We start from the raw sequence: 21,940 nt of genomic DNA on the forward strand, positions 1-21,940 counted from the left end.
ATTCAGCCTACTTTTACTGTGCTACTCCTACATGCTAAATATATGTGACACATTGCTTGATACAAGCAGTGATTTCCAGTGAAGCAGATGAACCTTACTTTTAATAATCTATTAACAGAATTGAATATAAAGTAACAAAATTCTTTAATCAGGAGCATCCAGGAAGCAAAAATATCGAGTACGTTTCCAAACAAGGAAAGAGACAGAAATGCAAATACATATATTTAGAATTATTGCAGCTAGGCATCAGTATGTGCATCACCTCCAGAAACGGCAAAGAGCCCAGTTACAGGGATCAGTTCAAATATTTATTGATCTCTTGCTAGGAGATGGGCCAGGCAGACTGATTCTAAAGCACAAAAGATAGGGCCCTCCCCTAGAGGAGTATAAAATGTGTTGTAGGAGACAGATATGCACAGTTACTTTCAACATACTGCAAAAAAAGAAATACAAGAAACAAGTAGTAGGCCTGAGTCAAGCCTCTGGGCTTGAGTAATTTCTTCGGGATGAGATGTACTCTCTAGCTGAGTTTTCTAGCAGTCGGGAGATTTAGCCAACCAGTGGTGTGTTAGTAAACTGGCTCTCTGGGGCGGGGATGAGGGACGTGGGAAGCCATGACTTATAATACATATTTGCCAGTTTCCATGATATAAAGCCTCCCACCATGGCCACTTTCAAGCTACCAACAATTTAACAACCAGCCTGCTAAAATCTTGAAATTAAGAACTGGCTCCCATAGTCAGTACGTGCTGGCTCCAGTACACCACTGAATTTGGCCAACACAATCGTTTGGCAAACACAATAACTTGGTAGAAAATTAATAGCCCCACAATTACCAATTCTTTAAGTATTAGCATGGGTGGAGGGAGAGAAATCTATAAATGTTACCTGACATGGGAAAAAGATACATAGGTATGATTCAGTTAAGGATCTGGAGATGTAGACTATGGTGGATTAGCGCGGGCTAATATAGCCCTGGGCGGGCTATAAACGCAATCACATGTGTCCTTTCAAAGAGAGAAGCAGGGGGAGGTTTCAGCTGGAAGAGGAAAAGGCAATGTGACCACAGAGGCTGAGATCGAAGTGATTCAGCCACCAGAGCTGGAAGAAGCAAAGAACTGGATCTTCCCTAGAAACTCTGGAGGGAATGCAGCCCTGCCAACACTTTGATTTCAGATTTCTGGCCTCCAGAGCTATGAGGGAATAAATTTCCATTGTTTTAAGCCACCAAGTTTGTGGTGGTTTTTAGAGCAGCCGTAGGAAACTGATGCAGTGGAGTACCAATGGGAGTTTTGCAACCTGCTCTATCTTTAAGCATTTCTGTTCATTTTGTAAGAATTCTGAGATTTTTTGCACTCGTACTTTTCAAATTTTCTAATTCCTTACCAGTCCTTTTTTGGTGTTGTTCATAAAAGCAAAAGTTTGGAAGACTAGGCCTAACAGGGAATGAGTAGAGGCAGTTTAAGTTGCCAACAACTAGCAACTCAGAGAAATTTTTCACAGGCCTGAGCGCGGTGGCTCACACCTGTAATCCCAGCAGTTTGGGAGGCCGAGGTGAGAGGATCACCTGAGGTCAGAAGTTCGAGACCAGCCTGGCCAACATGGTGAAACCCCGTCTCTACTGAAAATACAAAAATTAGCCGGGCATGGTCGTGTGTGCCTGTAATCCCAGCTGCTTGGGAGGCAGAGGCAGGAGAATCGCTTGAACACAGGAGACTGAGATTGCTGTGAGCCGAGATCATGCCACCGTACTCTGGCCTGGGTGACAGAGTGAGACTCCGTCTCCAAAAAAAAAAAAAAAAAAAAAAAAATTTCAGGAAAAAAAGTCAAAGCAGGATCTGCAAGCATTTACACCAAGTGTTGAGAGGCAGTGACACTGGGTTGGTGTGGCCTCAGGCTCTTACTTTCTGAATCTTGTAGTCTACTCTGTTATATCAGAATGCTCTGAATGAGGAAAAAAAATTAGATTTTGAGGTTCTACTTTTTCTTTCTTTTTTTTTTTTTTTTTTGAGTCAGAGTCTTGCTCTGTTGCTTAGGCTGGAGTGCAGTGGCGCGATCTCGGCCACTGCAGCCTCTGCCTCCCAAGTTCAAGCGATTCTCGAGCCTCCACCTCCCAAGTAGTTGGGATTACAGGCGTACACCACCACACCTGGCTAATTTTTGTATTTTTAGTAGAGACGGGCTTTCACTATATTGGCCAGGCTGGTCTGGAACTCCTGACCTCAAGTGATTCGCCCGCCTCAGCCTCCCAAAGTGCTGGGATTATAGGCGTGAGCCACTGTGCCTGGCCCAAAGTGGCCTTAATTTAAAGAGCAGTTTTTAAATCACTGAGAATATGTAAATGGAATACTATAAATAATCTTCAACAATTTCAGGGCACTCCATTTCAATACCAAAAAATCCCTTTTCCCCTGAGGAATAACTGGATGACCATGAATGAGAATGTAAAACATTTTTAAAAGAACAGAAAAAAAAGAGATGGGACCAAAAAAAAAAGAGATGGGACCAAAAAAACTTCGAAAAATTTTGAAACCAGTAAGCAAATAGTCATAATGACCCATTTGCTTTCAGTCACCCTGTTCTAGACAGATCACTGCTGCCATTTTGGTAGTGTAGATGTATTTGATAGGTGAAGATACTGAGGAAGAATGTGATGAAGTATCTCACCTAAGGTTCTGAGCTGAGCATCCGCCCAACCCCAAGTCAGGAGCCTTCCCTTTAACTCTGCTGAGGGCCACTGCCTGTGGGTGTCTCCCCTGGGCTACTGCCATGCCCTGGGAACTGGGTGACCTGCTTTTGGCTGTGCACCTTCAATCTGTCCTCCCTACCACCAGGCACACCACGCTCCATGCCTCCAGGCCCTTGACTCTTTATCTCCTCCATCTCTGGAACATTTCTCATCTTTTCCACCGGCTTTACTTTTACTCACCCTTCAAAACTTCTGCCGGGAGCTGTCTCCATTCAAATAAGCAAATGTTTATTGGGTCCTGTATCACTTAACTACTGCTGCCTCCCAAACTCCTGCAAAACCCAATGGCTTAAAGCAGTCATCAGTTACAATTTCTCACAAGCTAGTGGGTCATCTGCAGGGCAGTGAATCTCGGCTGAACTCGGCTGAAGGTGGCTTTGCTCCAAGGTGGCTCTCCCCGTGTGCCTGAAAATGAGGAATTTCCTGGGACATGGAACTGCAGTTTTAAAATGGGGGCAGTCCTGGGTACAAAGGATGGCTGGTCACCTTGGCGGTGACCTCCAGGTGTCCCTTCCCCTCCTAGGACTAGCAGGCCAGTCCAAGCCTGTCTTTTCCATGGCAATGGCACCAGAGAGCACAAGCTCAGCTGCAGAAGCTTCCTAGGCAGGAGGGCTGCTCACTTTCCACTGGCCAAAGCAGGTCATGTGCCTAAGCCCAGCATCATGGGGAAGGGAAATAACTCCACTCGCCCAAGGAAGTGGGGGCAGGGGGTGAATATTTCTGAATCTCATCTACCACAGGCACCTACTTGGGCAAGTTACCAAGGGTTAAAGGCTCCAAAAACACCATTCCTGACCTCAGGGATTGGGCTATGTGAGGTACCCCTGCTATGTGTTCCCGTAACACCCCACGCAGAGAGATGCTGCGCTTCACCCGTCACATCTGAAATTATGCATTTGCCATTCCAGACTGTAAACCACCCAAGAGAAAGAACTGAGGCTTCTGTCACTGTGTGCCCAGGACCCGGCATACAGTAAGCACTAAACTGATGTTTGTTAAACTGCACTGGTCCATCATATGCTGTTCATCGTCATGTTCAACTCTCTCCTGACAGATGAACTCAAGTTTCTTTACTGGACCTCCTTTGATATTCCCCCACATAATCTAATCTGGCTTGATTAGATACAGAGCCAGAGAGCATATATTTTAAGGCTTTGTCAACTCTATAGTCCCCACTGCAACAACTCAATCTGCCATATGAGGGAGGCCAAGGTGGGAGGATCACTTGAGGCCAGGAGTAGGAGAGCAGCCTGGACAACAAAGTAAGACACTCCCCACACCCCACCTCCCACCTCGTCTCTACAAAAAATAAAATGAGCTGGATGCGGTGGTGCTCGCCTATAGTCCCAGCTACTCAGGAAGCTGAGGCAGGAAGATCATGTGAGCCTAGGAGTTTGAGGCTGCAGTGAGTTATGAATGCACCACTGCACTCCAGCCTGGGCAACAGAGCAAGATTTTATCTCAAGTAAATAAATAAATAAAATAATATTAAAAACCTTCCACTGACTCTGCAACTAAAGGAACCATAGACTTGGTATCTCTTATAAACTAATTCACCTGATCCTTTTCCTACAACCTTGTTTGTGTAATTAAATGAACACTTCACAGCTGGATATATCTAAAAATTGATCTCTATTGCAAATTTGATTAAGGGCATAGCTGTTTGTGTTTCTCTCACATACTGTGTATTAAAATTTCACTCTTTTAAAACTTAAAAAATTTAAGATGACTTTATCTTTGTATGTTTTTCTCTTCAGCTCTACACTTTTTTACAGCCATGTGCACGGCCAACTCTCCCGACAGTCATCAAAATCCATAAGTAGAAGGGCTATTTAGTGAAGGGGAATCCAATTTCATAATGACTACTTCAGTGGTCCCTGTGCAATTACTTTTGTTACAGTCTTAAAGTAATGAACTTATTCAATAAGGAGAAATGTAGAGAACAAAAGGCCTAAAGAACACTTAAGACACTCAGACACTCGGAAATTTGAGGTTGAAACACTTGTTCCCCAGGACCAAAACTGGGTGTGTTAAATCAAGACAACTTCTATTACCATGAAGATATGCCACCACGAAGAACTTCAAAGAAGGACGAAGTACCTCTACAAAGTAAACACCACGCCCTTTCCACTGATGGCAGACTGAAGTGGACTGATGGAGACTGGCGAGCACAGACGGAGACATTTGTTCCAGAGATTCTCCTTCCTAATCGTCCTCCTCCCAGCCCAGCCACGCAGGCATTTCCCTGAAACACAGGAAGAACTACAACAGAGCTGCCGCAAAATGCACCTGTGTGGGTAAGGACCACAGGGCCTTAACAGCTGTACTCACCCTTGGCTCTCATTTCTCTCCTTGAACCCCGGCATGCTACAGACACCCGGGCCTTTATTTCTTAGAGTTGTTATGAAAACTAAGTGAGAAACGCACATTATTAGCACTCAGTAACTGATAGGTTATTTTCAGCAACAGCAGGAGCAGTCCTTGAAATAGATGTGGCTGGTGGACCAGCACAGATGATTGGCTAGGCTGGAAGCAGATGATTAGTTACACCTGGTGTGTACAGGGAGCGAGAGGTGAGCTGGGATTGAGAGTCAGATTCCCATCAGGAAAATATTTCCCATCAGGGAGATATTTCACTCATGCCAGAATTATGAGGAAAAGAAGTGAGCACCCAAGTCTCACCTGTAATAATACGATTCTAAAAGTGACCAACTTGTGTCATTTCACCTACTTGTGAGGCATATTTTTCTTCACTAAAGGATGTGAGGCAAGGAATGGTTCAAAGAAGAGTGTGAAATTCCGACAAGTTAAAGGAAATTACTACAAAAATAGCACAAATATAGCTACCTTACCTCATAAGGAATGTCAGTTATTTTAAACGACTGAAAAATTTTAAAAAATTGAAAACTCCAAATTTGGTCAAACTTCTCTCTCTCTTATGTTCCATCCTAAAGTTTGTTTCACTGGTAATTTTTCTAAGGAAAAAAAAAAGTGAACACAGAAGAAAAATACCAGGCACTGAATCGCTCCATAAAATACACACCACTGGTTACAGTTGATAAGAAAATGCTTAGTTAAAAGTGAGTTACATTTCAAAATAGGGGGAAAAGGCAAGGAATGTTAGCTCACACCTATAATCCCAGCGCTTTGGGAGGCTGAGGTGGGAGGACTGCTTGAGGCCAGAAGCTCAAGACCAGGGAAACACGGCAAGTCCCAGTCTCTACAAAAAAAAAAAAAACTTAAAAATTAGCTGGGTGTGGTGGTGAATGCCTATAGTTCCAGCTACAAGGGAGCCAGAGACAGGAGGATCACTTGAGCCCAGGAGTTCAAGGTTGCAGTGGAGCTGTGATTGTGCCACTGCACTCTAGCCTGGGCAACAGAGCAAGACCCCAACTCTAAAAACAAAAACAAATAAATAAGAAGAAAAAGTTAATAGTGTCAAAACCTTTTTTTTTTTTTTAGATGGAGTCTTGCTCTTGCCCAGGCTGGAGTGCAGTGGTGCAATCTTGGCTCACTGCAACCTCCACTATCCAGGTTCAAGAGATTCTCCTGCCTCATCCTCCCAAATAGCTGGAATTACAGGCACCTACCACAACATCCAGCTAATTTTTGTATTTTTAGTAATGACAGGGTTTCACCATGTTGACCAGTCTGGTCTCGAACTCCTGATCTCAAGTGATCTGCCCACCTTGGCCTCCCAAAGAGCTGGGATTACAGGCATAAGCCATTGTGCCCAGCCCAAAATCTTTAATTTATAACATAGTCCAACATCAGTTATTCAGCACATAGGGAATTATAGCAGGGTATAGCCTACACTTGAGGTACAGTAAGTAACATCACTTAAGAAGTAACAAAGCCACTTAAGAATTAATATGTCAATATATGCTCAGCCACTTCCAGAAGACACACCCTTTACAAAATAAGATTACAATGAGGTCTGAGGAAAGATTAAAATCTAATTTACTTAACTAGGGTAAGCTTCATAATAAAGTCTACCTAGAGAAATCAATAGTCTCATCAAATGTTCTGCCACCAGCCTAATAAAGGTAGTGGGGAGAGTGTGAAAGAGGGGATGATCAGTAAGCATGTGCAGGTTTAGGATCCAGAGCCAAGCACAGGGCTTGGGACACTGTGAGTACCCTGTGTTTGACAGCCTGGTGCTGCTCAAAAACAAACCACACAGGATGGGCCAGGCCCAACTGAAACTGCATCAGTGCTTTCATTCTCACCCATGGCTGAACATCAGAGCCATCTTTCATAAAGGTTCTTATTCAATAGGTTATGGGTAGAGTGGGTTTGAGTTTTCTCGTTGGGCGCGTGTGTTTTTTTTGGGTGGGGATGGAGTCTCGCTCTGTCATCCATGTTGGAGTGCAGCGGTACAATCTCCGCTCACTGCAACCTCCGCCCCCTAGGTTCAAGCGATTCTCCTGTCTCAACCTCTCGAGTAACTGGGATTACAGGCGCATGCCACCATGCCCGGCTAATTTTTGTATTTTTAGTAGAGGTGGGTTTTTGCCATGTTGGCCAGGCTGGTCTCAAACTCCTGATCTCAGGCGATCCGCCCACCTCAGCCTCCCAAAGTGTTGGGATTACAGGCGTGAGCCACCACACCTGGAGGCACTTGTGTTTTTAAACAGCTTCATGCGCCTGGAGCAGTGGCTCACACCTGTAATCTCAGCACTTTGGGAAGCTGAAGTGGGTGGATCACCTGAGGTCAGGAGTTCGAGACCAGCCTGGCCAACATGGTGAAACCCCATCTCTACTAAAAATACAAAAAATTAGCCAGGTATGATGGTGGGCGCCTGCAATCCCAGCTACTCGGGAGGGCATCAAGAGCAAAACTCTGTCAAAAAAAAAAAAAAAAAAAAGCCTTCATGCTCTGTGTAAAGTAAGCCTCCTACCCTACCTTTAAGAACTACTGATCTTTAAGAAAGTTTACATTCTGTTTATAGATAGAGCTGCCAAGTTAAAAGCTGATTCTGTGTTTCAAAGAATAATATTTAAAAGACAAAGAAAATGAAGAAGCCTGACATTTTTTCGATTCTAATATTTTAAAATGTTTAAATGCACATCAGATGCAAAGCCTGAAATTCACTGCCTTGGAAGCTTCCCATGGAACATGCCAAGGTCAGTGGGTCTCTGAGTCTAAAAAGACACAACCTGGCTCCATCAGGAAGGACACAACAACAGACACTGCCTCCCACGGTCACCAGGAAAGTTAAGCCAAACACTTTATACTGTTTGTTTGTTTAAGTTACAGAACCTTGGGGCCCAAGAAGGGCTTAGAGATAATCCCATCATACACCTTCATGGTACAGATGAGGAAACAGAACCAGAAAGGTCATGTGCTAGTGGTGATGCTCGCCCCTTGGCGGCAGGAATCACATCTCAGCAGTCTACTGCTGTGCGGCCCAGCACCTAGCAGGTACTCCATAAAACCCTTAGAAATTAATTCTCAGGGCTTGGTCATCAGCAAAGTTGGGACCCAGAAACAGACACAGTTTAAAATAATAACAATAATAACTGGCTGGGCCTGGTGGCTTGCGCCTGTAATCTCAGCACTTTGGGAAGCCCAGGCGGGCAGATCACTTGAGGTCAAGAGTTCAAGACCAGCCTGGGCAACATGGTGAAACCCCGCCTCTACTAAAAATACAAAAATTGGCTGGGTGTGGTGGTGTGTGCCTGTAATCCAGCAACTGGGGAGGTTGAGGCAAGAGAATCGCTTGAACCCAGGAGGCAGAGGTTGCAGTGAGCCGAGATCACGCTATTGCTCTCCAGTCTGGGTGACAGAGCAAGACTTCGTCTCAAAAATAATAATAAATAAAAAATAAAATAACGACACTGCAACTACACTGAAAACAAACTGAGGCTAAGTAAAGCCATTTTCCAAGGTCATACCCCTCCAACAGCATGGAGCTTGAACCTATCTGTCTTCACCACTGACTTGAATCACCAGAATCATCTGTCCGTAGAACAGACACTTGGCATATTAAAAAACATTCCTTCTGAGATTAATACAGCAAGCTGATCTCTTAAAACGTGTTGTTGTTATTAAATTTTAACAGTTTGGGTGAAAAGAAAGCTCTAGAGAAGAGGAAATTAACTTTCTTATATTACAACATTAAGGGTAAATGGTTTGACTTAGAGCAGATGGCTCTATTAGAAATAAGACTTTTAACGGCTTCTTGTTAGTATCATGGTTAGTATCCCTGCCTGTTCGAAATAAGACTTTTTACCTCATCCACACACCCCACTGAAAATCATGTTTGAAATCCCGCCTTCCATATGGAGCCACCCTCAGAACACGACATGCAGTGCTTGTAGTTGACCAGCAGGTGGCAGAACAGAACAACCCATTCTCAAGAAAAACAGGCAGAGGAAGAGAACTGGTGGGTGGACCATCAGGGAGGGAGTATTTGTATCCTAACACCCGCCAAAATTGCAGTAGGAACCCGCAAAGGATCCTGCATCCAACTAACATCTGAGGGTGGCTCATAAAATGAAAGCAATCAAGTATCCATTAGCTTCAACAACCTGGAGATTAACACTCAGAAGTGTATCCTGTGCGTTCATGGGACAGTATGGGTGAGGCGTGAAGGAGAAAGCACAGAGGGCGTGCCAGCATCCCAGGGGCCATATCAAATGACCTGATCCCTAAATGATGCGGGGTGCTTATTAAAATACAGACCCGGGGCCCACCCTAGACAACCAGAGCATGTGAGGAGAGGACCAGAGAATCACCTGGGGGCCTCACGAGCCAAGCGGGGGCCTGGCTGGCTTGTGCACTACGGCACTGCCATAACCTGCCCACAGGTGAGGAGTCACCTTCCACCATGTGCTCAGGGTAGGCAGCAATGTAGAGGCTTGGCAGAGACTCGCCTGCCCCTCGCTGCTCAGCACACAGAGGGTTCAGTAGGGTCGCCTGTGACAGTCTCTCTACCTGTACCCTCCCCAGCCTCCTTTTACCCTAAACCCTCATCTATGCCTTCCCTGTCCTGTTCATTCCACCTCCTTCTCACAGTAGGAATGAATTGGTTTCCTCCTTTGCATCTTCAATCTCTTTTTCTAGATAATACGCTCCTTTCCCTCTGCTGACAACCTCTGATCCTCTACATCAGACAGCAAATCGCCTCTCCTCAGCTGGCTGCTCCTCTGAGTCGGCACAGCCCCAGCCTCTGCATCCCCAGCACTCCCTCTTCCTTGGCCCTTGCACCTTGGCATCCACACTGATCCTTCCATGGGTCCCCAGCCACCTCACAAATGAAGACACTGAATGTGCTGACCGGGCTGGCTCTGAGCCTGATTGCCAGCCTCTAGTGTTTTTCTACAATATTTCTACTCTTTTATTTTATTTTACTTTGAGACAGGGTCTCACTCTGTTGCCCAGTCTGAAGTCCAGCAGTGCGATCTCGGCTCACTGCAACCTCTGCCTCCTGGGTTCAAGCGATTCTCCTGCCTCAGCCTCCCAAGTAGCTGTGACTACAGGTGCCCATCACCATGCCTGGCTAATTTTTGTATTTTTAGTAGAGACAGGGTTTCACCTTGTTGGCCAGGCTGGTCTCAAACTCCTGACCTCAGGTGATCCGTTGGCCTTGGCCTCCAAAAGTGCTGGGATTCCAGGCGTAAGCCACTGCGCCCGGCCTACTCATACCTTTCATGTTGCTCTGGTTATTCCAAACCTTTAGGTTTTCCCTGAAGCCTACTTCCACCTTCCCTCCCAAACTCAAAGATAACCTCCCTTTGCATAAAACTACAAAGAGTCAAGCCCCTCCTTTCTCCCTTTCCCCTCACTCCCTGAGGAAAGCCCCTGCCCCTCTTCCCTCTGGTTCTTCCTTTTGGCCTACACATCCTGCCCAATCAACCACCAACTCCAGCCCTGATCTTGTCAAACTGCTATCCCGGGGCCTCTGCCTCATGAAACCCAAGCTCCTCTGCCTTCCATTTCATCCCCAACAACAGAGTCCAACCTGTCTGTATGGACTCCCCAGTTCTCCATACTCTTCAGCATCATCCCTGACCCTTGAAGCGGCTGTTTACCCTCTCCATTGGGAGAATCGGCATAGTACCAGGAAGCCTGGTCATATGGGATTTCCCTCCTTTGCACCGTGGGTTACTGATGTCAGACCACTGACACCTCACCTGTCCATCAGTGATAATCAGTTCCTTAAGAAAAAATTTAACTTTGTGGATGGTCAATAAAATTTTACTGGATAATGTAAGAAGCAAAGCTTTAGTCTTTTCCTTTCCCCTCTCAAAAATATGCTGGAACAACACAGAGAGAGGCAAATAGCACAAATATTTGAATCAGGCAGGGCTGGGTTCTAATCCTGATTTCAGCAGGCCTGTGTATTGACCATTGATCTCGGGCAATCCTCTGGGAATCGCCTCCTCTCAAGAAAAAGAACAGCAATACTGCCACCTAGTGACTGTATGGGGCAAGCATGGAGCACTCAGGAGGCACTCAGACCTATCTTTTTGAACTTGAGAATGTGCAGGATATAATCAGCAAAAGGAATAGGTAAGGGGCTATTGATACCAGTTATCAAGGGGGGAAACACTGGTGCTAAATATTACACTGTGGCTTAAGTTGCAGAAAAAAGGGATAAAATTATGAAAGTTTTCAAATATTATTTAAAGTAGTCCCTCCCCTTTATCTGTAGTTTTGCTTTCTGCAGTTGAATTCAGGTACCTGAGGTTAACTGTGGTCTAAAACATTAAATGAAAAATTCCAGAAATCAACAATTCATAAGTTTTCTCTTTTTTTCTTTTATTATTTGAGATGGAGTCTCACAATGTTGTCCAGGCTGGAGTGCAGTGGTGTGTTGATCACAGCTCACTGCAGCCTCCACCTCTAGAGCTCAAGCAATCCTCCCACCTCAGCCTCTTGAGTGGCTGAGACCACAAGTACACGCCCCCATGCCTGGCTGATTTTTTTGTTGTTGTTGTTTGTTTGTTTTCTGGTAGAGCTATCTCCCTGTGTTTCCCAGGCTGGTCTTAAACTCCTGGGCTCAAGTGATCTGCCTGCCTCAGCCTCCCAACATGCTGGGATTACAGGTGTGAGCCACCCTGCCCAGCTAATTCATAAGTTTTCAATTGAGCGCGGTTCTAAGTCGCGTGATGAAATCTCCCACCGTCCTGCTCTGTCCAGCCCTGCACGTGCACGTGGATCATCCTTCTGTGCAGCGGATCCATGCTGTGGACACACACTCTCCTGAGTTACTGAACAGACTACTCGGTTATCAGATTGGAAAAACATAATGTATCTAGGGTTCCATAGGATCCATGGTTTCAGGCATCCACCGAGGGTTTTGGAACCTATCCCTCATGGATAAAGGGAGACGACTGTAACTTTGAAAGTTCCCATTTGAAAATGTTTTTTGGGTTTTTTGCTCAATTATTCCATGACAATAAATGCATTCTCATAGCTATAATCAAACTAAAGAGAATTTAATTATCACCCTCAAGAAAACTACAGTTTCCTGCTCCCCAAAACACAATATTAAATACCCATATTATCACTTTTCAAGATTGCACAGGTAATTTCTAATAGGTCCCACACCCACATCTCAAGGTCAATTTAGCCTGCATGAAAGAAAACAACTGAATGAAAATAGAACACAAGATTCTTCATATGCAAAAATGACTGTGTAAAAACTATATAGGCCAGGCACGGTAGCTCACACCTATAATCCCAGCACTTTGGGAGGCTGAGGCGGGTGGATCACTTGAGGCCAGGAGTTTGAGACCAGCCTGGCCAGCATGGGGAAACCCCGTCTCTACTAAAAATACAAAAATTGGCTGGGGTGGTGGCAGGCGCCCGTAATCCCAGCTACTACAGTCTCAGGCTGAGGCATGAGAATCACTTGAACCCAGGAGGTGGAGGCTGCAGTGAGCCAAGATTGCTCCACTGCACTCCAGCTTGGGCGACAGAGCGAGACTGTCGCACAAAAAAACAAAAAACAACAAAAAACAAAAAACAACAACAAAAAAAACCCCTACATATCCAGAACTAAAGAGTGAAAACTGACAAGTATGCAGGTAATTGCCCTTAAGGAAAAAGGTGTGTGGATATATTTTAGTGGGCTGGTCTAAATATTTTCTAAATATCGTAAGACATATGAAACAGGGTGGCTAGGAGCTGCTATTTCAGCTTTTTAAAAGCAATTGTGATGGAGCAAAAATTTTGCCTGTAGACAATAATTAACCTTTCTCCAAAAGCATCACATATATATCATTCTATATACCAAATGCCACAGCCACAGGAAGTCAGTTGCCCACAGCCTTATAAATCAGTTTACTTGCTTCCTCATTTTCTGTTATGGACTTTCCTAGCCAAACTCTGTCATGGCAGTTCACTTCAAAATTAAAAATAAAGTTGATTTAATGGAGCCTGGATGAATCCCATCTGAAAGCCATTAAAACATACACACCCACTTCCACACAAACCAGAGAATCAGTAGAATTCAAAGACTTATTGAATCCTGAAACTGTAAAGGATCCGAGTGACAAATAATTCACATGTCCTATTAATCACAGGAGGTAGACGGGTTCTGTGATTCCAGCACTGACACGGAGGCAGTCAGGAGCACTGCTAGGACTAGAATCCCGTTGTCCTTGCCCCAGTCCAGGCTCTGCCCACTCTCCCATGCTTCAGGTCTGGCTCTGAAGTTCGTGATTCCCCGTTCATAGTCTTCAAGTACATCAGTGAGTCACGTTTCCGTTTCCTCTCACTGTTCCAAATGCTGGGCTTTGGTAGCACAGAGTTCATTCATTCACAATCATGCTAATTCACTCATACAGAGAGAGAGTGCTGACGCACTTAGGAATTATGACTTAACATGCAATTCTCAAATCAGTGAGGCCAACGGCTAACTAAACTTAAAAATAAAAGGAAATCTAGCCCTTAGCACTCAAAATACTTCCTTTCAACCTACTGTAAAACAACAAACTCACTTTCATTAGGAGATGAAAAGTGAGTCATTTCTTTCTTCCAGTAGACGGTCTCCCCAGGCACAAACTCATGCACATTATATTTCATGGGACCTTTTAAATATTTACTTGTTAGCAGTATTCTTCCTTTCGGGTCAAAGATTATAGTATTTAGCAACACAAAGAAAGCTGAGGGATAGAGTTATGAATTAGTAAACTGCTTTGCCAAGCCTTCCATTTGTTAATTCAGTCCAACTTCAAAGAGGATTTTAAAGAGAGGTTCAGCTGTCAGAAATTAACTCTAAGAAAACTGCTGAATCAAAAAGTGACTTGGGCAGTTTTTCCCAAACTGGTGTTAAGGAAAAACTGTTCAGTTGTAGGTATAGGAGCAAAAAGTATCTTCCTATGCAAATAAGCTTAGGGCAAACAAAGTTTTTAAAAGGTTTTTTGTCTTGTTCACTACAGGACTTTCCCAGCCTTTGACATGCTAATGTTGCTGTAAATTTCCAGGGATGTGGTGGGGGTCAGTTTATTTTGATCACATTAATTATGTGGTTGGGGGATGTGGATAAAATAGGAGAAATGCACTACACTGATTCAGCAGCTTCTAAGCAACAGAGAAAGGGTTTGGCTAAAGTACTAGTATTTTTGGTATTCAGTAGCAAAGAACAGTTAGACTCTCATTCACAACTATTTCAGGACAAGGTGGGAGTATCTATTCAGTCATTTGGGAGAATGAAGCTACGTAGAACTCAATCCTTGAGAGCTTAATTTACTGCCAATAGGACTGCCAATTTCGCGGGGCTTCTGCAACTCCTCCCCGGCTCTAAGCAAAAACAGCCCCTGTACCTGTTCTTGGGGACTGACGTGACATCGTTGAGTGTTTTCCCTCAACTCTTTGATCTTCATGCACTTGTCTATTTCAATGTTTTTTGACCATGGCTGTACATCAGAATCACCTAGGGAGCTTTTCACTCCACAGATGTATGGGCCCATTGCCAAATCTACAAAATACAATACGATCCCCAATAAGCAGCACCGAGAGCTGAAAACCACTCTTCTGCTTCCTAGGAAGAGCTAGACAACAGACAAATAATTGAGAGGGTGTGTACTTTAAATTGAGCACGTTGACACTGACAAGGAAAGGGCTACATAGCAAGATTTTAATGAGACCCCAAGTTTACAGATTTCTCTGTATCACTCACTCAAAAGTGGACTTTTTCTTTTCTAGATGATTTTCACAAAGAAAGAAAAATGTACTTTGAAAGGAGCAAAGTGCTTAAAACAAGGAGTGCACCACAAAATCGTTCAGGGGCCGCCTGCTGTGGTTAGCTGGCTGCTGGTTCACACGTGAGCCCAGACCCTGTTCCCCAGCACAAGCCCCATCCAGCACATGACCCTAATTTGCAACTCAACATTTCACTATATGTCTTGGACCTTTGCAAGTCACTTTAGAAATTCAAAACCAGAGATTCCCACTATGCTGAAGCCAAGCCTACTGTACAATATACATCACAGGGTGTAGGCCTCTGCAGGCCTTCTAAGTACGTCAATCACCTACAGAAGATAAAAAGTGATTTTTTGAAAACCATTTTCTTTCTAAATAATATTTACTTAAGCTATTTTATGCATACAGTCTCTAGGCAGTATATGTCAGGAAAAGGACCAGCCACTAAGAAGAGGAAGAGAGTTAAAAGTAAAGATATAGGCTGGGTACAGTGGCTCATGCCCGTAATCCTAGCACTTTGGGAGGCCAAGGCAGGAGGGTCACTTGAGGTCAGGAGTGTGAGACCAGCCTGGGCAACATAACGAGATCTTGTCTCTGCAAAAAATATTTAAAAATTAGTTGGCTGTGGTGGCAAGCACCAGTAGTCCCAGCTACTCAGGAGGCCAAGGTGGGAGGATCACTTGTGCCCCGGGAGTTCTAGGCTGCAGTAAGCTGTGATCCTGTCACTGTGCTCTAGCCTAGGCAACAGAGTGACACCCTATCTCTTTTTTTAAAACAGATATATTAAGTCTTTTTTACAAAAGTGAATTTCAATAACTTCAATATCATAGGGTAACCTGGAATCAATTATAAAAAGATTCTCTCCCTCTTTCCTTTCTTGAATTTTTTTAATCAGCAGAAAAGATATTTATGTACAATGAATGGGTAAGAATAGCACAGCATACAGGTGAAGTTGAAAGATTTCGGAAACAAAACGCTGAGTCCTATGGAGACAATGGGTAAGAGAAAGTGGAAAGTGAGGGGTCCAGAGGTTGCCATGCCACCCTTGCACCTATGTGCCACGATCTGTATAATTGGCAGAGGGACTCCAACATGGCCCGACTTTCTCCTCCTTATTATTAGCATGGTGGTGTTTCTGGGTCTCTTCCTCTCCAACACTGCCCTTCTTCCCAACCCCAAGAGAAAAAAAGGCCATAAACCCTACTTGGAAGCTAAAACCAAAAAATATCCAGGATGAAAGTATGTTTTCCTTTGCAGGTCTTATGCAAAGGAAAAGGCATAGAAAGGTAATGGTCTGAATGCCTTCCAGTAGTCAATGGTCGATCCAAGGAATGCAAAGGGGCAGAGGAGGCAGAATCTACCTCTGCCTGGCAATGGAGTAAACCTAGACACGCTGCTGAAACCCACTGGACATCAGGACTGAACAACGAAGAGGTTAAATTACCTCCCCAGGGCTCTCCCAGCATTCCATCCAGGGTTCCCATCCACCAGCACTGACGCTACTTGGCAGTTTTGAATAAACAATACAACATCTCAACTATTGTTAAACTACAATGGGAGGCCTCCAGCGTCATGTGGAAATTATTTTTAAAATGAAAGCTTTTTCATCAACTGCATGAAAAAGCACTTAATAAATCCAGAAACAGTCTAAAAGGATTATGTGGACAAGTCAAAATGTGATTTTGATGGACTAAGTGGATTGCTGAGACACATCATGACATTTAAAACCAAGTGCAGAAACTGAACTGTATTTCATTTGTTAAAACGCTTAAGATTATAAAGGAGTGATACATTTGGCAAGGTAGCCAAGGTTCTTGAAAGAATCAGCAGCGCCGCAAAAGGACATCGAGGAGCTCAATGCAGCTAATTTAAGCAGACCTGCTCCTGAGAGGTGAACCAAGCTTGGTAAGTTTTTTAAGTTCACGTCCGTTTCTCACCCACATTCAATTGGCGGGGGTGGGGGGGAAGTTCTGAAAGCTTCCATGAGATAATCCTTTAAAATAGTCTCTAGAGGCAGCGGCAGCAGCAAATTATTCATTCCTACCTTGCGTGAGTTAAGCGTGACAGAAAAACTCTCTCAAGCAGAGTTTGAAGTGCTCAGGGTTCCCGCCTTGCAATCAGAAGTTAAGACCTACCAGGAGATTGAGATCAGCCTGGCCCACGTGGCAAAACCCTGTCTCTACCAAAAAATATAAGAAATTAGCCAGGTGTGGTGGCGGATGTCTGTAATCCCAGATACTCAGGAGGCTGAGGCAGGAGAATCGCTTGAACCTGGGAGGCAGAGGCTGCAGTGAGCCAAGATCACATCACGGCACTCCAGCCTGGGCGACAGAGTGAGATTCTGTCTCAAAAAGAAAAACAAAAAGTTAAGACCTGCAAACAGCGAATAGAATACAAAAGCCTAATTCAGTGCTGGCATATGAAGCATCAATCCATAAAAATGGCTGGTTAGTTTCCGAAGTTTTGATCTGGTGTCATATAGCCTAAAGAACAAAGAATTTACAGGAAATGATTTTAGGAGCCTGGAAATTTTAATTCCATCTCAGATACTGTTATTTCCTTTTAATAGTAAAATCTACGTAACTATTGATTTGACAAGTTTTTCATTTGGCTGCCTGTGCTATTAATCATCACGGAACTTTAGTCCAAAATTCAAATCAAACATCACCATACACGCCTCACTTCCAGGTCCCGGGTACATGTTGTTCGTTTCTGGTTATTCTAGTGTAGACTCCTTGCTTACTTTGGAATTTTGGCAGGAATTGTTCACCATTTCTGAAAAATCATATCACTGACCACCTAACCGCTTGTAGTGTTTGAGTCACTAGCTTTTCATCATGGTAATTCCACACACATGTAAGCATCCAACGGTTTCATTCCATCTTCCAGTAAGTACAGTTTTGTGTGAGCAATGAATATGAAAAGGTAAAAATGGCCTTCTTTAATTTCTCCTTACATTGCAGGTAGGACATTATATTGACTTTTTAAGCATGCATGAATAGATGTATTATATTGGCTATGTGATACTCATTTCAGGGTAGAAAAAAGATAATAAAAATATTTCTTATGACTGAGAAGCACTGACCTACAGGTTATGCCAGCACTTCCCCAGTGACGATGATAATGTCATCAGTGACCTTGATGATGATTTCCAGCAGAGAAGGCGGTGCAGGTGAAACTGTCCCCCACCTTAAAAATCAGCTTTTGGCAGGGCACAGTGGCTCATGCTTATAATCCCAGCACTCTCGGAGGCCGAGGCAGGAGGATCATAGGAGCCAGGAGTTCAGGACCAGCTCAGGCAACATCTCTACAAATAATTGTAGAGATACCCCATCTCTACAAATAATAATTTTTTAAAAAATTAGGCCAGGCGTGGTGGCTCACGCCTGTAATCCCAACAATTTGGGAGGCCGAGGTAGATGGATCACTTGAGGCCAAGAGTTCAAGACCCGTCAGGCCAACATGGTGAAACCCTGTCTCTACAAAAATACAAAAATTGGCCGGGCATGGTGGTGGTCACCTGTAGTCCCAACTACTTGGAAGGCTAAGGCAGGAGAATCGCTTGAGCCTGGGAGGCGGCAGTTGCAGTGAGTCAAGATTGCGCCACTGCACTCCAGCCTGGGTGGCAGAGCAAGACTCCATCTTGGAAAAAAAAAAAAATAGCCAGATGTGGTGGTGCACACCTGTAGCCCCAGCTACTCTGGAGGCTGAGGTCAGAAGATGGCTTGAGCCCAGAAGTTTGAGGCTGCAGTGAGCCATGAACATGCCACTGCACTCTAGCAGCCTGGACAACAAAGCAAGACTTCATCTGGAAGAAAAAAAAAAAAAAAAAAAAGCAGCATTTTTCTTTCTTCTAAGAACTACTAAAAATATATGTGAACATAGACCCTTTCTCCACAATGCTCATAGATTTGGATTTGCTGACCAGACTAAAACAACGTCCAGCGTTTCCTCATCTCTTTGTGGTAGGGTGGGTGAAGCTAAACAATCCCACTAATACTGAATGCTGCCTTCATTCAAAGACGACTGCATCCTCACACTCTTAAGTACAATAATGAAAATGAAATTAAAGTAAATGGACTTACATGTATTTCTCTTTAATTCAGGTTCACCCATATGTTTCTAAACATTAGACTGCAAAAAGTGCAAGAGTCCAAGGTCAGAGCTTAGGGCCTGGAGATCCATCAGATTCCCTGTTTAATCATCAGCAAGTCACCTACTCTCTGTGTGTCCAAGTCATCTAGCTGTAAAATTTGGATCCTATTTGTCTGTTACCTCTTGACCCAGGCACAGAGTATAACCTAAGAAAACATTCTGAGCTACCTAATTGTTTTGGATTCTATTACATATTTTTTTCAAAACAAATTCTACATAATTTAGTGTTTTATGGTAACCAGTACAATATAAAAAAATGTAAGGCCAGGCGCAGTGGCTCATGCCTGTAATCCCAGCACTTTGGGAGGCCAAGGTGGGTGGATCACCTGAGGTCAAGAGTTCGAGACCAGCCTGGCCAATATGGTGAAAGCCCATCTCTACTAAAAGTACAGAAATTAGCTGGGTGTGGTGGCAGGTGCCTGTAATTCCAGCTACTTGGGAGGCTGAGGCAGGAGAATCACCTGAATGCAGGAGACTGAGGCTGCAGTGAGCCGAGACTGCACCATTGCACTCCAGCCTGGGGAACACAGCAAGTCTCCGTCTCAAAAAAAAACAGAAAGATTTAGAACTCTTTAAGGTCTTTTTCTCCTTATATAACATATGCAGAAATAATGGTGCTATTGAAATTAGAATGGACCAAGTGTATAACCCAGATACACAAGAAACTTCCAGTTTCTCATTCAGTGCTTGAGATACCTTAAGATGATCAAATCACAAATGCTCAGTTAAGTCCAATCAGATCTCAAGGCAAGATCTCAGGCAGGGTCAGCTTAGTACCTATAGAAGGCATCAGAAAGTAACTTTCCAATGTCACCTAAATGCCTTCCCTGTTGGTGCTGAGAGATTTCAGGATACAAGGAAGAATGAAGTACCTTTAAAATGAAGCAGGCCGGGCATGGTGGCTCATGACATGACTGTAATCCCAGCACTTTGAGAGGCCGAGGCGGGTGGATCACCTGAGGTCAGGAGTTCGAGACCAGCCTGGCCAACATGGTGAAACCCCATCTCTACTAAAAAAATACAAAAACTAGCTGGGCATGTTGGCATGCATCTGTAGCTCCAGCTACTAGGGAGGCTGAGGCAGAAGAATTGCTTGAATCCAGGAGGCAGAGGTTGCAGTGAACCAAGATTGCACCACTGCACGCCAGCCTGGGCAACAGAGCAAGACTCCATCTCAAAAAAAAAATATTAATTAATTAATTAAAATGAAGCAACACAGAGGTATTTTAAGGTCCACTCAGTGCTTTCTTTTCTGTTCTTTTATTTTCTTTTTCTTTTCTTTTCGAGACCAGTTCTCACTCTATTGCCCAGGCTGGAGTGCAGTAGCACAATGATGGCTCATGGCAGCCTTGAACTCCTGACCTCAAGGGATCCTCCTGCCTTAGCCTCCTAAGTAGTTGGGACTATAGGCATGAGCCTGGCAACCTTCCTTCAATTTGAACTAGCAATGCCTACTGCAAAAATTTAAGTGTTTATCAGCACTGTAAAGGGTCATTAAACTTTAGGTTACTGAGTGAAAAAACCAAAGAACATTCTTTCCAAATGCTTTTAAACTTTTATTTTACCTTTTACTTTGTAACCAAAAGAGAACATTGCTCAAAAAAATCAATTATAATCCTTGCTTCCCTGGGTTTAAGCCATTTGTTTTTCATGAAATTACTATCAATTTAAATGAAAAATAATATTAATACCTTTTAAATTCAGAGCTATACTTAAAATTTTCTTAATGTCGTTGCTAAACCAACACTTAGATCTTACTATCCCTATTAGAGCTTATAGTCTGGCAATTATAGGGATCAAACACTTTAATTTGTGAGAGAAGAAACTCATGTTTTAAAATAACCCTAACCTCCAATATTTCAACATGTTCTTTAGAAAATTCATCCCACAAAAATGGCCACTTCATTCTGTAACATGATATATCTACAAAAATCACTGTGTGTCAGAATACAATAACCACTTGGAAAGGGCTGCCTGCATTTCTAAATCATGTGTAAATCATTTGAAAGTATTTTCTCATAATGATTATGAAAGCATTAAATTCAATAGAAAACAAAGGATTCCATTCAAATGTATGTCCCTTCATTTACTTTTTAAGGTACTAAATGTATAAAATAGAATCTGGATTAACTGGAAAGAAATGAACATAAAATCTGGTTCCACTATAAATCTGAATCACTTATCCCAGAACTTTCTTCTAAAGTAAAACTCACCAGGATTGTTGGGAATCTTTTGATTATACTCCCTGGCCTGACTTTATTTAAATAACTCTTTAATTCTGACATAGCAACCATATTCATTGTTATTTTTTAAATCTGTTATGTTCTCCAGTCCCAAGCTAAACCAACACTTAGATCATTCAGGAAATGTAAAACACTGCTGGCAATCTGTTAGAAAACCCTTTAACCTTTTGTTACACATTCAGCACCATCCCTAGACACTTGTGTGGCTATTGCTCAATTGCACCTGTTATGCAGAAAACTCATACAAGAGGAGTACTATTTTAAAAAATTTACTCTTAGGTGAATCTAAAATGATTAATACTGATTATAAGAGTTTTTCTTGCCCGGGCACGGTGGCTCATGCCTGCAATCCCAGCACTCTCGGAGGCCGAGGCGGGCGGATCACAAGGTCAAGAGATCAAGACCATCCTGGCCAACATGGTGAAACCCTGTCTCTACTAAAAAAGCAAAAGTTGGCTGGGTGTAGTGGCACGCACATGTAGTCCCAGCTACTCGGGAGGCTGAGGCAGAAGAATCGCTTGAACCCGGGAGGTGGAGGTTGCAGTGAACCGAGATCACGCCACTGGATTCCAGCCTGGCGACAGAGCGAGACTCCATCTCAAAAAAGAAAAAAAAAGTTTTTCTTAAATCCAGCAA

The 21,940-nt window shown here is 43.6% G+C and overlaps 1 protein-coding gene across 5 annotated transcripts in view, besides 4 other annotated features; it reads right to left on the bottom strand.

The window, feature by feature from the left end:
- The window catches only part of NHSL1 (NHS like 1), a 271,170-nt gene that overhangs the window by 157,864 nt on the left and 91,366 nt on the right, over nucleotides 1-21,940 (bottom strand). The gene's annotated exons all lie outside the window — the stretch shown is intronic.
- Nucleotides 11,319-11,819: an enhancer, noted in NCBI's record as "H3K27ac hESC enhancer chr6:138912362-138912862 (GRCh37/hg19 assembly coordinates)". NCBI's record gives its function as "activates a minimal SCP1, AML or CMV promoter by ChIP-STARR-seq in naive H9 embryonic stem cells {active_cell/tissue: H9 hESC(naive)}" and the evidence as "EXISTENCE:reporter gene assay evidence [ECO:0000049][PMID:30033119]".
- Nucleotides 11,820-12,320: an enhancer, noted in NCBI's record as "H3K27ac hESC enhancer chr6:138912863-138913363 (GRCh37/hg19 assembly coordinates)". NCBI's record gives its function as "activates a minimal SCP1, AML or CMV promoter by ChIP-STARR-seq in naive H9 embryonic stem cells {active_cell/tissue: H9 hESC(naive)}" and the evidence as "EXISTENCE:reporter gene assay evidence [ECO:0000049][PMID:30033119]".
- Nucleotides 13,306-13,600: an enhancer, noted in NCBI's record as "tiled region #8531; HepG2 Activating DNase unmatched - State 1:Tss, and K562 Activating non-DNase unmatched - State 21:Repr". NCBI's record gives its function as "activates a minimal TATA promoter and a strong SV40 promoter by Sharpr-MPRA in HepG2 and K562 cells {active_cell/tissue: HepG2 | K562}" and the evidence as "EXISTENCE:reporter gene assay evidence [ECO:0000049][PMID:27701403]".
- Nucleotides 13,629-13,698: an enhancer, noted in NCBI's record as "active region_25159". NCBI's record gives its function as "activates an Ori minimal core promoter by ATAC-STARR-seq in GM12878 lymphoblastoid cells {active_cell/tissue: GM12878}" and the evidence as "EXISTENCE:reporter gene assay evidence [ECO:0000049][PMID:35858748]".

Source organism: Homo sapiens, chromosome 6 (assembly GCF_000001405.40).
Source record: "Homo sapiens chromosome 6, GRCh38.p14 Primary Assembly".
Classification (NCBI taxonomy): Eukaryota; Metazoa; Chordata; class Mammalia; order Primates; family Hominidae; genus Homo; species Homo sapiens.